The sequence below is a fragment of the Homo sapiens genome, chromosome 14 (genome assembly GCF_000001405.40).
Source record: "Homo sapiens chromosome 14, GRCh38.p14 Primary Assembly".
NCBI classification, from domain to species: domain Eukaryota; kingdom Metazoa; phylum Chordata; class Mammalia; order Primates; family Hominidae; genus Homo; species Homo sapiens.
In genome coordinates, this window is record NC_000014.9 from 86,904,976 (window position 1) to 86,923,200 (window position 18,225).

General features: G+C 35.9%; 1 long non-coding RNA gene across 1 annotated transcript; it reads left to right on the forward strand.

The window, feature by feature from the left end:
* The first annotated feature begins 802 nt into the window (after positions 1-802).
* On the forward strand, positions 803-17,780 carry LINC01148 (long intergenic non-protein coding RNA 1148). Its single transcript, NR_038445.1, has 5 exons — positions 803-1,074; positions 8,501-8,584; positions 9,667-9,708; positions 15,286-15,359; positions 16,490-17,780. It is a non-coding gene; the product is annotated as a long intergenic non-protein coding RNA 1148 (long non-coding RNA).
* Positions 17,781-18,225: the final 445 nt, after the last annotated feature.

Genomic DNA, 18,225 nt, shown 5'->3' on the forward strand with positions numbered 1-18,225 from the left:
GACCCCAACGGTTGCCACTGCTAGGTCAGGCAGCCTGCTTTTATTCTCTTATCTGGCCTCATCCACATCCTGCTGATTGGTCCATTTTACAGAGAGCCGATTGGTCTGTTTTACAGAGAGCTGATTGGTCCGTTTTGACAGGGTGCTGATTGGTGCATTTACAATCCCTGAGCTAGACACAAAAGTTCTCCACGTCCCCACTAGATTAGCTAGATACAGAGTGCTGACTGGTGTATTTACAAACCCTCAGCTAGACACAAAGTGCTGATTGGTGCATTTACAAACCTTGAGCTAGATACAGAGTGCCAATTGGTGTATTCACAATCCCTTAACTAGACATAAAGATTCTCAAGTCCCCACTTGACTCAGGAGCCCAGCTGGCTTCACCTGGTGGATCTCCCACTGGGGCCCCAGGTGGAGGTGCTTACCAGCCCCGCGCCGTGCGCCCGCACTCCTCAGCCCTTGGGCGGTTGATGGGACCAGGCGCCTTGGAGCAGGAGGCGGCGTTCGTCCGGGAGACTCAGGCCGCGCAGGAGCCCACGGCGTCGTCGGGGCGGGGAGACTCAGGCATGGCAGGCTACAGGTCCCAAGCCCTGCCCCGCGGGGGAGCAGCTAAGGCCCAGCGAGAAATCGAGCGCAGCGCCGGTGGGCCAGCATTGCTGGGGGAACCGGCGCACCCTCCACAGCTGCTGGCCAGGATGCTAAGCCCCTCACTACCAGGGGCCGGCAGGGCCGGCTGGCCGCTCCGAGTGCGCGGCCCGCCAAGCCCACGCCCACCCGGAACTCTAGCTGGCCCGCAAGCGCAGCACGCAGCCCCGGTTCCCGCCCGTGCCTCTCCCTCCACACCTCCCTGCAGGCTGAGGGAGCCGGCTCCGGTCTCGGCCATCCCAGGAAGGGGCTCCCACAGTGCAGCGGCGGGCTGAAGGGCTCCTCAAGCGTGGCCAGAGTGGGCGCCAAGGCCGAGGAGGCGCCAAGAGGGAGCGAGGGCTGTGAGGACTGACAGCACGCTGTCACCTCGTCTCTACTTAGGTGAATGATGCCTTTGGCCTGCTTATGTCTTCCATAGCCACAATGGTGAGTACTTGTTTTCTACTCAGCTAATAAGAAAATAAGTTTTGGCGGTTTTCTGAGAGCAAAAGTATTTATTGCTTGCCCAAGATAAATCGACCTCTAAAGAGACAGAAACTATTTTAAAACAGTTTTAAAAACAACATTTTTCCGTTTACACAGAAAGTTTTAGTGTCAATTTCACCCCCTCCCCAAATACTATACCCTTTATAAATTATGGGTGTTTGTTTTTGTTTTTGTTTTTTGTTGTTGGTGGTGGTTGGTTGGTTGGTTTGTTTTGTGCCTCTTACTCTTAAAGTATGGTCATTTAGGAAGTCTATGTAATTTTGTGTCCCCTGATTGCCCCCTCTTAGAAAATTGAAATTCTTCAAGGTGGAAGAAACAACATATCTATATTTGTAATCCAAGTATCTAGAGATAACCTGGCTTATAGTAGGTGATCAGTAAAAGTTTGTTGAATAGAACCAAAAAAAGAGGAATATAGATGATACTGATATTAAAAATAAAATAAAAATGACATCCACTGAGTGTTAGGATATCACCGAGGGAAACCCCAGAAGATTATTTAGTATTGATTGACAAAAATTAACATTTCTAAATGATGCTTTGAATTAAGGATTCTTGGTCTATTCATGACAAGTCTTCCAATGTGAATTTATATCTCAAAATATTACATAACCTGTAAAGCTGAATCCATGAATGTGAAGTCCAGCTAAATTTGAGACTGATTCTAAATACAGTGGTAGAGTATGCAGTTTGCTATTGTTGTCTTCTGTCTTTCATAACAAAATAATTTATTTTCTTCCTATATTGGTCAGGAATATCCTGTCAAGAAGGGAGGTTATCTAATTGTTGAAATATCAACATTTTAAAAGAAGACTCCAGAAAAGAGGGTAATGCTAAACATAAAGTCATGTTATGATAATGAAGGTACTTCAGGTGCATTATGGAGCACATGTTGAGAAGGGGTTTTTGGCAAATAATGTCCCTCAATTATAAGACGTGGGCATCACTTGATCACATCAAATGAGTCTATAGTTTAAGCCAGTCATAATTATTATACCTTGTAGCACATGCAAAGATTTATCTCAGCGCTTTTATAGTTTAACCCTATGTATATTAAAGGGCTAGAAACTCAATGTCATCTTTCCGAATAAACTTCCTCATGCGTCATATTTTTCATTGAAATCCTTTGTTTGTATTAATATTCTTAAAACCTATGATGTAGCTTTATAAATGAACAAAAATATTGAAGATTTATTTTTAATATTTTAAAAGATACAGATATGAAAAGTTCTTTTAAATCAGGAGATGAGAACTCTTGTGGTATATTCAAATCTCAGTTTTCATGGCAGTGATAATCAATGACATATCTCTATTTATCCCAACAATGAATATAAATAATAATAACAGAATCAATAACTAGTTTCCAGTGGTTTTAACAGAATCCATTTATTTCAAGCTTTAGCACTGATTTTTTTAAGTCCTAAAGGAAATTAATTGCGTTAGTTTTCATTTTAATTGATTTTTAAAGTTCTCTTTCATAAAGGAGCAGTTTGCTTCTCATTTTTCCATAAAGATTCCTCTAAATGGCATTTTTTCCTGCTGTTTTTTATATGGCTGTAGAGGTAATTTCTCCATATCACATTTAACTTGAACTGCCTCAGTCAAAAATGGGTTAAGCCCTAATTCCTACAGAAGAAAAGAACAGCATAAAGTACCACGGAGCACAAACATTTTAAGGCACAGCAAACTAGACAGAAACCTCACTGCTGAAACTGGCTAGATGCATGTGATTGGACAAGTTCCTTCACTTCTTCAATTTTCTTCTTAATGTGTTAAGTTATGTACAACATCTTCTTCCTAGAGCTGTTCTGAAGATTAAATAACACCTATGTAAGTACTTAATGCAAATAAATGCAGAAGAAAGATTAGTTTCCACTATTTCCTATCCAGTTATTTTTTGTGACAGCTACTGTGTCCAGGTCTTATGAAAATATTCTATTAAATGCCTCATTAAAATGAACTTTTGCAGTAAGATAAATAATTTATTTACCATTATGAAGAAAGAGAGTAATTAGACAAATCTTGAAAATGTCTTCAGAGAACTGAAATGTGTATTCCACATTTTGTTATACTTGTTCACCAATAAAACATGGCAAGTGATGAGGAAAAAAAAGTTAAGAACAGGGACAGGAAGCTAAACTACAGCAGTATCCTGGGCCCTATATAATGCGTTAGCAGCAATAAAGAAAAGAGCAGAAAATGAATGTAATTTGCTGCCTCTCTGTAAATAAGTTTTCATATGTAGTGCTAGCCAGGTAAGCTAATGAAAGAAAGAAATTTTAATTACAAGAAAATTATGTCTGTAATACCTTAGTGTCTTAAACATGGCCTTATATAAATATACTTTGTATATCAGTTAATTGCTTAAACATTGAGATTCATTTTACTACTTTTTAGGATAAAGTTTGCCTATCTGCTGCATGAAGTTAGCCAGGGAAAAGTAAGTGTAAACTGAGTGTTTAAAAGGCGGGCAGACATAAAAGAATGTATTAACAAGCTCTGCTGAGGTAATGTTTCAGAAATAATTTAGGCTGTGTGAACTGAATGGAATACTATTAGAAATAAGCAAAAGGGTTCGTCAACATTTGAAGCTTGAAGGAATTTCCCTCTTTTACTGAGTTTTGATATATACACATCATGTCTTTTAGTGAGATCACACCACGTAGACAAAGCATACGGGCATCCCTCCTTCCTTCCAAGTATTTAAAATAATAAATAGCTTCATCAGGTCCAAACACAGCTGGTTATTTTCTAATAATATTTGCAAAATCCAACATCAGGCAGTGTTCATATGCATGCTTTCCCAAATATAAACACAGCATCAATAAAGCATAGTTTCATTTATTTGATGGAACAAGGAGCTGGAAGGATAAAGGCAGATATTTCAATCATCTTGTCATTGGCTTGCTCTGTAACTGTCTGTCAGTCAATAGGCATTTGCTGTTTTCTGTTGCTAAAATGGTCAATGGAAATGCAGTTATCTGTACTCCTCTTTGACTCATTTATTATCAGGCAAATTGAAATATAGCACTTATTAAACAAGTTTTGCCAAGTACTCACACACAGAGAACACCACCAGAAACTGAGTGGGAGAAGGCTTGAAATGTTATCCAAAACAGTTTTCTGAGAGACTATAAGATATCACATGGCAGAAAATTATAGGAAATAATTTTGCTTTGTAAATCATGAAATATGGCATTAATTTGCCATTCTCACATATCATGCTATTCCCATATTCTAAATCCAGTCTTTAATTTGTTCATGCTGCCATGAAAAGACTTGAATTAAAGAATCCCAAGGTTGGAAGCAACCTATAAGAAAGTCTCTCAAAATATCTACGTGATGCTCATATCATCTCTAGAATATCCCTGCCAAGCAGTCACCTGATACAATCCTGAACACACACTCCCTATGGAGGCCACTGATTTTACCTGGGAACAACTTCGATGGTGAGAATGAATTTCTCTATATTAATTCCAAATCTAACCACCTCCAACATCAACCCTAATTGTGTTTTGTGAGGGGATAATAAGCAAGCTTAATCATTTTTTCCACATTCAGGAGGCAATTTAACAAATAATAATTATATGCGTGATACAAACCAGATTCTGTTTTAGATACAGGAAATACAATAATGAATAAAAGAAGGTCCCTAATCACATGGAGTTAGCTGTCTTGCTATGCAATGGCTAGGAAAATGATACACATATAGGCAAGTACAGTATGATAATAAGCTCCAGGGTAAGTGTTTGCGCAGAATGTAATAGAATTGCCCAAGAGGTAGTTGGGATCAGAGGTGATGCCTAAGTGAAGAATAGAAGAATGATTTATCCTTTTCTGCCAGGAAACAATCACACTTTCATTTATAACAATTTTATCAGGTATAAAAAACAAATAATCATGGCTAAGCCAAATTGGGTGACTACGGGAGTCTATTATTACTTCCCTCTTCCAAATGAAGGAACTGAGATTTGGAGAGGTCTAGTTATTTGCACAAGGTCACTTAGTGGGCAAGCTTTTCTGCGCATGGCTTCCTTTTGAGTCCTAAGCGCTGCCTGAGCATCCCACCAGGATGGTGCTGTGAATATAAACTCCACAGCAAAGACAATTGATGAGCGAGTTTCCTTCTTTGCCAACCGTTTCCTCTTTAGAAAACAATAGATCACTACTAGAATTGCAAGATAAAATTTTCAGTTCACAAACCAAATCCTGACAATGTGGAACATTTCACAAGTTAATGGAACAAGGTCTGGTGTCTCTCTGGATTCTACTCTGTGCTCAAGTTCCTAAGTGGCTCCTGCTTTAGGCAAGGTCCCCATGGCCCGACCCCTGCCTTCTTCTAAAAATGCTTCACCTCTAAACACACTTTCACAACCTTATTGGACTGCAGTTCACTGGCTTTGTCTCTACTCCCCAAACACTTCCAAAGACCTTCCCACTCCGGACCTTTGCACTTGCTCTACCCTCTTCCTGAAAAAGTTATTTCTTCATATTTTTCCAATAGCCTTTTAGTTCCTTAGGTCTCAGATCAAATGAAGGAAGCCAGCTTTACCACCTTAGAATTCAATTGTTCTTCAAACTCATGACTGAAAGTTCTCTACATCCTATTAGCCTACGGTATTTTCTTCAGCATACTTACCATTTTAACCTATAGTGCATATTTATTTGCTAAATAATTATCTCTAATATTGTCTGAAATGAAAGTACCAGGAGGTCGGCCAGACGCGGTGGCTTACGCTTGTAATCCCAGCACTTTGGGAGGCCGAGGTGGGTGGATCACCTGAGGTCGGGAGTTCAAGACCAGCCTGACCAACATGGAGAAACCCTGTCTCTACTGAAAATACAAATTAGCCTAGCATGGTGGCATATGCCTGTAATCTCCGCTACTCTGGACGCTGAGGCAGGAGAATCACTTGAACCCAGGAGTCAGAGGTTGCGGTGAGCCCAGATCGTGCCATTGCACTCCAGCCCAGGCAACAAGAGTGAAACTCTATCTCAAAAAATAATAATAATAATAATAAAAAGTACCAGGAGATCAAGAGCTCTGGGTGGTTTAGTTGCTGCATGTTCCTAGCAACTAGAAGAATGCTTGTCATATAGTGAGACTACAAGAGATAAAAGAAGGATGCGTTCAGTTTTCTAATGGATATTTAGTAATGTGGTGGACCCAAATATAATTTTTTTAAAAAAGAAAACTAGCCAATACCAAAATAATGCTATGGAGATAAATCTCATTTTTCCCATCTTAAAATGAAAAAAACTGAGGCTGAGAGGTTAAAAAAAATGTGGTCAGAAAAGCAGCCAGCCAGCCTAGTAGATGTGTGAGATGGAATTCAGATCAAATTCTCTCTAACGCCAAAGCATTTGCTCTTGCTCCTATATTTCGGCAAATATGGCTAGTGCTAAAATAGAAGCGTGTGCAAAGAAGAGAAATCATAGAAGATAGGCAACAGCTGACTGCCTGGGAGTGTCAAGGAAGGTTCTCAGAAGTGACTTTTTCCACTGGATTTTGAAATTTGTAGAGGAGAATTTGACGGGTGGGGAAGAGTGTCAGGGAGGCATTCTCGACAGAAAGGAAGCCATGCGCACAAAAGCTCTGGTGGACAAATAAACAAAGGTCCATTTAACACCTGTCTCCTTGAAAATAGATTCTGCCATGGTAGCATGGGTTTTTACAAATTGCTTGTAAGAATATCTACAAAGCAAGATTTAGCCACTAAAATTCAAACCAAGATGTTGATTGCTATCACCCAGCCCACGGAAAGTGTAACAAATTGGCACCTGGTTCTGTCTACCAAGTACAGACAGACAAATTGAACACTGTGTAGACATCAAATCCTCACTAGAATGAAGAGATGGCATGGCTGAGCACCAGAGGTCATGGGCTTGCCCTGTTAATATGTTAGATTCTTTTAAAGGATGCAGATTACAGTCTGTCACTTTCATATTCTAGTTTATTTGAAACTCACCATCAGATCTACAAAGTTAACTGCCCATTTGACAGAAGCATGAAGTCTCAGAGAATATGAGTATTGATTGTCACGCTTCACGACATGAATCAAAGTTAGAAATTTCTTCTGAGAACCGTATAAATATTTGTATCCTAAGGTCATTGGGAATTTGTTCCTGAGATGTATTTAAGATATAATTCAAGGAATTGTCAAAAATATGTCATTACTGACATAAATATTATAAAGAGTGGAGTTACTGAGGGTTCTTGTCTGTGTATTAGCATTAAAACTTCACTCTGCAGAAAAGTCTATTGCCTGCAAGGAGGCAATTTACCGACAGCTTTCTCGTGGTATGAATGGGTGAATGCATCTCAAAACCAAAGTGTGTTTTACTTTCCTGCCAAAATCATTGTCCCTAAACATTTTTCCTACACTGGGCTTGGAGCAAGTCAGTTTTATTTAAATAACTTCATTACAAATGATCTCTACCACCTAGAAATAGGTGTTTTGATGTGTGTGTGTGTGTGTGTGTGTGTGTGTGTTCAAATAATATTTCATTTTGTTTTCTTTTTATAATTAGAACAAAATAGTAAGTCCCAGTTAAAATAAATCAAACAGTATGAAATTCTGATAAATTCTTGTAGTGTTTCTTTTTTAGAGATGTCCTCTTGAATTGCTTGCATTTTAAACATCTGTAATAAGTTATGTACCATTTCTAACTGTATTAGCACTGAATCATTTACTTTTCCAAGAAATAAAATCTTTTTCTCTGTTTCATCACTTTTTATGTCATGATCATGCACATGTAAATGTCTTAGGTATTTTTTTACCCTGAGGGGCTTTGCATACTTACAAGGAATGAAAATGGGAGGAGAGTTAACTAACCCATCAAACATCTTTCTTGTCAGCAGCCAGTAGAAATGCATTTGGAGGCTAAAAAACTGGTGTGGTTTGAACAAGGGGAGTTGTTAAATGTACCTTTAGAACTCTATGTAGGATATAAAATTCTGGAGATATAGCTCTGCTTCTACTTCATCTCAGCCAGCTTTAATTTCTACACAAAGGGAATATTAAATCTTGAAAAGACCTAAAAAAGGACAAAGAATATGTCTTTGAGAGCACATTAAATATACCAGGCTTCCACTTTGTCATAAAACTTGCATGAACAGATAGAAGACAAGGCAGAGAATGAGGGTCATTGCTTTTTCCAAGCCAAATCCACCAGTTCTTTGCTCAACAAGTCATTACAGATTCTATTAAAATGTGAGTTAAAGAATTAAATGAATTATAGTGCTGAATATTCACTGGCAGCAGGATTTTGTTATGCTTTTTAAAATATCCCTACAAACCAATAATTTTAGAGGGAGAAGGTAAAGAAATGAGTTAATTAACAACAGCTCTGTCAATACTTTCAGAATACAGTTGCAGAAACTCTCACTCTTTATGGAAAATAGAAGGGAATATGTACAAGAAACAATTACTGTATGCAGATAAGGCAGGTAAGTGTTAAACTATACAAAATAATCTCCTGGTTAAATATTCAAAGAAGTGATATTTGTAGAATTAAATTTGTCATTTGAACTACTCTTCCACAAGTCTATAGTAGCAAGAATTTCTTTTCCTTTTTTTTCTTTTCTTTTTTTTTTTTTTTTTTTGAGACAGAGTCTCACTCTGTCACCCAGGCTGTAGCGCAGTGGCACGATCTTGGCCACTGCAACCTCTGCTTCCTGGATTCAAGCAATTGTCCTGCCTCAGCCTCACAAGTAACTGGGATTGCAGGTGCACACCACTATGCCCAGCTACTTTTTGTATTTTTAGTAGAGACAGGGTTTCACCATGTTGGCCAGGCTGGTCTTGAACTCCTGACCTCAGGTGATCTGCCCACCTTGGCCTCCCAAAGTGCTGGGATTACAGGTGTGAGCCACTGTGCCCGGACAAGAGGATTTCTTAAATCTACTCTGGAGGTAATTTATAGTCGAATATAGATATATAATAAATAAATCCAACTGCTGCTGGGTCCCATTACTTTAATTTGGGTGTTGAAGAAAGAGAACCATTTCAGATTTGATGAATAAATAAATTAAGGTCTGTGTACAGCTGTACAGTTGAAGTACATCTCTTTGTTATTAATAATATTAAGCCATCAACATGATTATTCTATGGTCTTCCCAAAAATCTGAGTTTAAACACTTCCTTAATATAAAAATAAACCTCAGAATCAAGGTATAAGTTGATCCTCAACCCCACAAGAGTGTGAAAATACTTAATTTATTATTTTGTTCAGTGAGTAATATTGGTATCCAATATTAAAGTATAAGTTTATCCTCAACCCACAAGAATGTGAACATGTTTGATTTCTTATTTGTTCAGTGAGGAAGATTGGGCTCCTTTGGGCTTCTAATATAAATCAAGTGAGAGTCCCACTGCCTCTAAGAGGAGAGTGGGGGTAAACGGTGAATTGCCTTCAAAGGTTTGAATGTCTTCAGCAGCTCCTGTAAGAATGACTCACAACCATACTTGGCACTATAGAAATTGATCTTGATATTTTCGCCATGAGAAATCTACTTTCTTTCCAGAATAGATGGTGTCTTTGACATTTCATCAAGGCAGCAGCATCTGAAAGGTACCTCTGTCACTGGATTTCTTACTTCTTCAAATAGAACCTTACAAAAGCTGCCTACAAAGGCAGAGCTGTATATGTGCAATCTACTCATGCCCTTCCTCTTGTTTCTGATGATTCATGTAATAGAGAAACAAAGAAGGATCCTTTGCCCCCTTTCCCCTCAGTTATTTATGTAGGGCCACGTAAAATCTGCATTACACAAAGCAAAACTAGCTTATTGAAAGCAAACAGGGCTGGAAGAATCCTACGGTTTTTTAAAAAATATATATAATAATAGAAGTATAATTTTCTTGTCATGGACTAATGCATTAAAAAGTGCCTAGTTATAAAATTAGGAAAGAGACAACTTTTTAATTTTGAAAGCCAATAAAATGAGGATTCCTTAAAAGCTTTTTGTTTTTATAAAAAATTACATTAGTAGTATTTTTGTTTGTTTCATCATTTCTTCTTTGCCAGCTCTATAAAATAACCTTTCAAAATAGCTGTGTGCCGCATGGTAACAGTCAAGAATGAAAATTATTTAAGATTGTGTGTGTGTGTGTGTGTGTGTGTGTGTGTGTGTTATGCATACAGGCACATAAAGTGATATTGGCATTCCTTATACTTAGGAAGCTTTTTATTCTAAAACTCTGAATGTAGAGGTTGGGAAGAAAATAGAAAGACGGTTTTCATTCCAGCAGAACTCAACAGACTGGACATTAAGAACTTCTCATGTGCAATTGAGGCCAGATCTGGAAAATTTAGTTTAGCTATACATACACAGCATTTTTATAAAGCAGTCACTCAAAAGCTGTAGTCTATCATATATCTTCATGTTTATTATCTCTGGGCCAGATTTTTGTTTGGCAGCAAATGGAATTTTGACTTGGCAGAAAACTTGTGGTTAGCAAATATTTGGCATTCTATAGAAGCCTCTTCAAATCAGCGAGAAAATAGAAAGCCAAAGAAGAGATTAGAAGTGGAGAGAGGCCTACCATTGTTTGACACTGGTTCTGAATTCATTTACATCATCAGTATGCATCCATTCCTCACTTGCTGAGTGACCATCGGCCTGTGAATTATCCAAGCCCAATCTCAGGATTTCCATCTGTAAAACATAATAGTATAATATTCACCTCACAGCCTTGATGTGGGGACTGGAGCTGGAATGTTTTGGAGTCACCTGTCAAAATGCAAAGCACAGTGTTTAGGATGAATGAATAGTAATTGGTATAGTTGTCACTGCCTGTTCTCTTCTTTCTTTATCATATCAGTATACATATTTTTTCTATCTTCATATGAAAAGTAAAAATATTTGCTTTAATTCTACTGGTCCCCTAGTCCATACGGTCACCGGTTTATCTGCTACCAGGAGAGAGTTATACTAGAAGGAAATAAGGAAGCCCCGATGTGATCACCTCCTATTCTCTCTTCGACCCTGTTGCTACAGGGTATTTCTTCCATTTTTCTGTTACGTTGCCAAATTCCTTGTGTATTTCTGCATCCTCCTATTATGTGTCAGCATTCGATGTTATTAAACAATCCCTATTTTTTAAAACAGTCTTCCCTTGGCCTTCTGATGAATCTGTGTCTCAATTTTCCATCTATGTTGCAGATCTTTCTATCTAAGCTTTTTCATAATGTTCTTTTTTCTTTTAAACACCTTACCTCTAAACGAACATGTGTTTCAATTTTAGTAATGACTGTTTGTCCATCGCTATGTTTGTATATCTATCCTGTGATGCCCATAAGAATGTGGTATCACACATTATTATCTTGAGATCCCAATTCTTATCTTGAGATCCCAATTCTCCTCTGCATCTCAAGCCATACTTATGTTCAAAATTAGGCTCTTCATTCAACACTTCATCTTTACCTTAACTCCTTGATTTCTGCTTTATTCTAAATGACTTTACCATCCACTTAGTTGTTCAAGCCAGAAAACTTACATATCAGTAAGATACAATGACCAGGAACATGGTCTCTATTGTTCAAATCTTGGCCCTGCAATATTATGCTAAGTGACCTTGGACAACTTTTTGTACCTCTCTGTGTCACATTTTCATCACTTGTTTCTTAGTTCAGGCTGCTTTAAGAAAAAGCCATAGACCAGGTGACTTAACAGAAATTTATTTCTCACAGTTCTGGAGGCTGGGAATTGCAGAGCAGGGCATTAATATGACCACTTTCTGGTTTGCAGATGGTTATCTCCTTGCTGTTTCTTCACGTGCTGGAGAGACGTACCTTTCCTGTGTCTATTCTTATAAGGGCACTATTCCATTCTTGATAATTCTACATTGATGACCTAATCACCTCCCAAAGGCTTCACCTCCTAATTCTCTCACATTGGATATTAGAGCTTCAGCATAAACCTTTTAGGGGGACACAAACAGTCCATAGCCACTTGTAAAATGGAGATAATGCTAGTAAAACCTATATGTTGAGGTTATTGCAAGGACTAAATTAGTGACTTGGTTAAGTGTTTTGCATGGTGATTTACTTACAGAAAATACACAATAAGAACTATCTATCATCCTCATCATTCATCATCATTATCATCATCATCACCATCATCATCCTTGGTTTCATACCTTCCACATCCAACCTGTGGTAACTAATGTACATTTCCATACATATTTGAAAATATTTTAAATCTACTCATATCTTCTCTTCTCCTCTACCAGTACTCTAGCTCAAGTCAACATCATTTCTTACTCAGATTATTACAGTAGTCTTCTAGTGGATGTTGCCAGTTTTTACTGCCTTCTACTTTTTTGCTGCTGAAATAAAAAAGAATTTTCAATATGTCACTAATTTGTCTTTAAATAGATTCACATTGTAATTTAGAATAAAATGAAATCTCCTTACCAAGTCTTAAAAGCATTATACATTATGGCCCATATATCAGCTTTGTAACTTCTTTTTTCATGTTCAACTTTGTTCATCAGGAGAATGATACAGTTTTCTATTTGATTTAATTTTGTTTATAAGCATGCTTAGCTACTCTTTGCCTCGAAGCTTTTTTATATCCTTTTTTATATCCATCTTCTTCTCTTTATAATAATATGTTTCTTGATATTAGTGTTCTAAATATTTACAATGAAAATGAAATTTAGTCTGTACACCAATTTATGATAAGAATTACTCAAATTGCTGTTGTAGTATCCAAAATTAGTCACTGGGTCCCACAGAATTGGTTTTCAAACACATTGTGAACATTTTCAGAATTACCCATGTGAAAATACAAAATACACCAAATTGCCAAAGAAAAAGAAGGAATACAAGAGGAAGGAGAAGGAAAAATAAAAATAAAAATACACAGTAAATGGAAAAAACATACTTCTACTCTAAAATGACAATGCTATGTGGCATAAATGTGAATGTCCAGCAAGTAAATTTAGATAGAGATGTGTTTAAGATACCCCGTTCTTAGTATCAAGGGACAAATTATGAAGTCTTTATTTTTCATGAATAGCTGTTTTCTTTCTTATTTGCAGTGAACATTATTTAAGTGTCTTTTTATACAAGAAAACTGCATAATAAAACTAATAAATAAGAAAAATCACAAAAGACAAAAACTCAAATGCAGCTGCTGTTATTTACCATTTCACTGCAATGGCCTACAATTATACTTAACAATATTAGCCTGTACAGATTTCCAGAAGATTCCTGCCAAAGATTAAAACAAATGTGAGAAATTTCTATTAACTCAACATATTGTAGCCTAGTACAATAAAATTGTAGTTTTTCTAACTTCCATTGGAGAAAACTTCTAAGTATAGAGAAGAAACTTCTTTCAAACTTTGTGTACATCAAAATAATTACTTCATAATTGAATCCCCTGCAACAAGACATAGAAGGTTCAGGAGAATCTTTATTTTATATTCTTAAATTACATAGAATGATATTTATTTCAGCTTTGAAACACACTTTTCTCTCAGTAGTTTTGTAGCCTACAGTGATATAAACAGATAAATATTGAAAGAAAATATGGCATGTATAACAAAGTAAATGATTTTCTTTTTTTAGAGTTTTATGATGCTTTATTCATTACACATTTTGGCTGATAATATATGTAGTTTAGTGAGCTTTACTGACTCACATTTTATGTGTTTTTTTCCCTCTTTTTTCTTTAGCAGTAAAATTGTATCATCTTTTGACTAGATAGAAAAATCTGAAGCTAATTAAAAGTTGCAAGTATTTTGTAAGGTCCATTTGAGTTAGTTGAAGCACAATGTTTCCTAAATAGGAGGTCCAGAAATCTAGAGGACCAAATATGATTTCTCAGATGTCTGAAGGCCTCTATATAATTTCAGAGTCTGCTAAAACATGTATTTATGATAGTGCTGGCACAAAATAATTACTTACCCAAATATTCATGCTTGCTTAAGAAAAAGAAAACAGAGGCAAAAATAATACATTAATGATGAATTCAACATGAAACAAGATTAAGTAAGACTAAGACACACTATATGAAGAGGGGTTGTACGCTAGGTGCAAATGAGAGAAATGGTGGAAAAACTGAATTACCGTGCAGTGCATGGAAGTAAGAGTGCACTAAAATAAAGTAAAATAAATTGCATTAGGGCCATCAGAGCTATATTCACATTGTAATCGCTGATTTAGGGTTAACAAAATAACATCATTTGTCATAGTAAACTAATGCTGTTAGTTTGGATTTTATTGTTTGGTTTTGTTAGCATTTAATTTATATATTCTTTTGACTTTATACCTTCGTATAAGCTATAAGTAAATGAGTTTAGACACTTCTTCTATGTTTGCACTTATTTAACATTGTAATAAAAATAATGTAAGTCAACAAGGAGAGCTAACAAATACCATGAATTCTTAAGAAACGTGAACACAAATATTTGTCATAGTATTTTTGTTCATGTGTAATCCACACATATGAAAATCAAGTACAATAGCCAGTAAACAAGAAATCTTACTTTTCCCCTTCTTTTTACCCTTATTTTAAAACTAAACATTTAATTTGAGATAATTGGAATTTCACATGCATTTATAAAAAATAATACATAGAGATCCTGCATACCCTTTACTCAGTTTCCCTCAAAGGCAACATGTTGCAAAACTATACTGCAATATCCAAACCAGGTTACTGGCATTGATACAGTCAATATGTAGAACATTTCATCTCCAGGATTCCTTGTTTCCCTTTTATAGCCAGACCTATTTTCCTCCCATCTTTGCTCTCCCATCCCTTAACTACCTTGTTCACCATTTTTGATATATTTTTTAATTTCAAGAATGTTCTATTATAAATGAAATTAAACAGCATGTAACCATTTCTTTTGCCTTTTTTCACTAAGCATAATTCACTGGAGATTCATTCAGGTTTTGTGGGGATCAATAGTTCATTTCGTTTTATTACTGAGTAGTATTACTGAGTATGGATGTGCCACAGTTAGTTTAACCATTCGCTCATTGAAGGTTAGTTACTAACCTAGGTTAGTTCCAGGTTTTAGTTAGTATGGATAAGACTGCCATAATCATTTGTGTACAAGATATTGTGTAAAGATAAATATTCATAAATGCTCAATAATGCAATTGCTAAGTTCTATGATGTTCCATGTTTAGTTTTTCAAGAAACTGCCAAACTGTTCTCCAGAGTATTTGTACCATTTTACGTTTCCACCAGCAATATACAAGTGGTAAGTTTCTCTGCGTACTCACTATCATCTCATGTTACCATCTTTCTTTAAAAAGCAATTTGATAGCTGTGTATTAACAACTCACTGTAGTTTCAATGTGCATTTTCCTACTGGCTAATAGTATTGAATTTTCTTTTTTTTTTTTTTTGAGACGGTCTCTCTCTCTGTCGTTGAGGCTGGAGTGCAGTGATGTAATCTGGGCTCACTGCAACCTCTGCTCCCGGGTTCAAGCAATTCTTTTTGGGACCACAGGCACACATCACCACACCTGGCTAATTTTTATTTTTACTAGATGTGGGGTTTCACCATGTTGGCCAGGCTAGTCTTGAGTTCCTGGCCTCAAGTGATCCACCCGCCTTGGCCTCCCAAAGTGCTGGGATTACAGGCATAAGCCACTGCACCTGGCTTATGATACTGAGTATTTATTGATGAGCTTATATATCATCTGTATGTCCTCTTGAATAGGATGGTTCTTCATTTACTTTTTTTTCCATTTTCTAATTGGATTTTTTATTACTATTGAGTTTTGAGAATTCTTTTTATATTGTCGACTTTATTCTTTTGTTAGATTTGTGATTTTCAAAACTTTGTCTCAGTGATTAGTCTGGGTTTTCACACTTTTAACGGAGCAAAAGTTTTAATTTTGGTAAATTCCAGTGTATCAGTTTATTTCTTTCTGAAGTGTGCTTTTGGTATCAAGCTTAAGATCCCTTTGCCAGCCTAAAATGCTGAAGATTTTCTCCTATATTTTTTCTAAAAGTTTTATAGTTTTGTTGTACTTTTAAATATGTGATCTATTTTGAGTTAATTTTTGAATAAGAGGTGAGACAGATTAACATTCTTTTTTTGCTTGTGAACATCTCACTGCTCCAGCATCATTTGTTGAAAAGCTGCTGTTACTCCATTGAATTGCTTTGGGATCTTTGTCAAAGATCAGTTGGGTATATTTATGTGGGTCTCTTTCTGGGTGCTGTATTCTGTTTCTTTGATGTCTATGTCTGTTTCTCCACCAGTATCACCAGTCTTTATTACTGTAGCTAAATAGTAAGTCTTGAAGTCAAGTAGACTGATTCCTTCCACTTTTTTTATTTTAAAAATTTGCTTTGGCTATTTTCCTCTTTCTGGAACAGGATCTCACTCTGTCACCCAAGCTGGAGTGCACTGGCATGATATTGGCTCACTGCAACCTCTGCCTTCTGGGTTCAGGTGATTCTCCTACCTCAGCCTCCCCAGTAGCTGGAACTACAGGCATGCACCAATTTTTGTATTTTTAGTAGAGACGGGGTTTTTCCATGATGCCCAGGCTGTTGGCTTTTACTTTGCCTTTCCATAATCATCTTGTATGTGTGAGATACATACATATATATGTGTATATATGTATACATAATTGTATATGTCTATATATATAACCTTATTATATATAATTTTATAATATAATCTTCATCTAATTTTGATGGAAATTACATTAAACTTGTGTAACAATTCAGGAAGAACTGATATATTTACACCTCTTGAGACCAAATCTGGAACATGGTGTATCTTTCCATTTATTTAAGCCTTCTTTGATTTCCTCAACATTTCTTCTTCAATAAAAACATTGTAGTTTTTGTTATATAAATTCTGTATCTGTTTTGTTACATTTGAACCTAAACATTTAATTTTTTGAGTAATTCTGAAATGATATTGCATTTCTAATTGTTTCTCATATATTCTTTGCTAATATGTAAAAAAACAATTTTTTTATGTTTATCTTGTATCCTGTGACCTTATTGAAGTCACTTTTTAGTTCTGAGAGTCCCTTTGTAGATTTCTTGAGATTTTCTACAGAGACAATCATACCATTTGCAAATAGAAACAGTTCTATTCCTACCTTTCTAATACATAAGCATTCATCTCCTTCATCTATCATACTTGCCAAAACTTCCAGCAGATGTCTTTACTTTGTTTCTTCTGTTTACCCAAGACAGTCTTTCTGTCTTTTTCTTTCTTTCTTTCTTTCTTTTTTAGCTTTTCTTGTTATTGTTTCTATATGCTCTTTATCAAGTTAAGAAAGTCCTCCTCTGTCTCTATGTTTCTTGGAATATATATAATGAATGGATGTTAAATTTTGTCAAATACTTTTTCTTGACTGATATTATCATGTGATTTTTCTTTAACTTGTTAATATGTTAGATTACATTGATCTTTGAATATTGTACCAGCCTTGCATTCTTGTAATAAACTTTATTTGGTTACAGTGTATAATCAAATATAGTGAGTTATTTGAATTGAATTTGAATTGTTATAGTTGAATTGTTTTTGTTAATATTTCATTAAGGATTTTGTTTCTATGTATAATAGGGATATTTTTCTGTAGATTTTGTTTCGTTTTGGTTTTTAAGTATCAGAGTAATGCCAGCTTCTTAAATAAATTGTGAAGTGTTTGTTTGTCTTTAATTCTCTGAAAGATACTTGTAGAATTTGTGTTAATTTTTTTAAATAATTGGTAGAAATCCTTGGAGGTGTGGAGAGTTCTTGGTAAGGAGAATTCTTAAATTACAAATTTAATTTCCTTCATAGTTACACAGCTATCCAAATTATCTATTTTGTTTTTAATGAGTTATGATAGTATTTTTTAATGGAATTGGTCCATTTAATCCAACTTGTTAAAATTATACATGTAAAATTGTTTGTAGTATTCCATTATTTTCCTTTTGGTGTCTACATGATCTGTAGACTTATTGCTTGTTCCATTCTGATATTGGTAATTTGTGTTTTCTCTCTCTTTTTTTTTGTCAATCATTGTCAATTGTATTATTCTTTTCAGAGAAGAAGCCATTTATTTCATTAATTATTCTCTATTTTATTCTGTTTTCAATTTATTTCT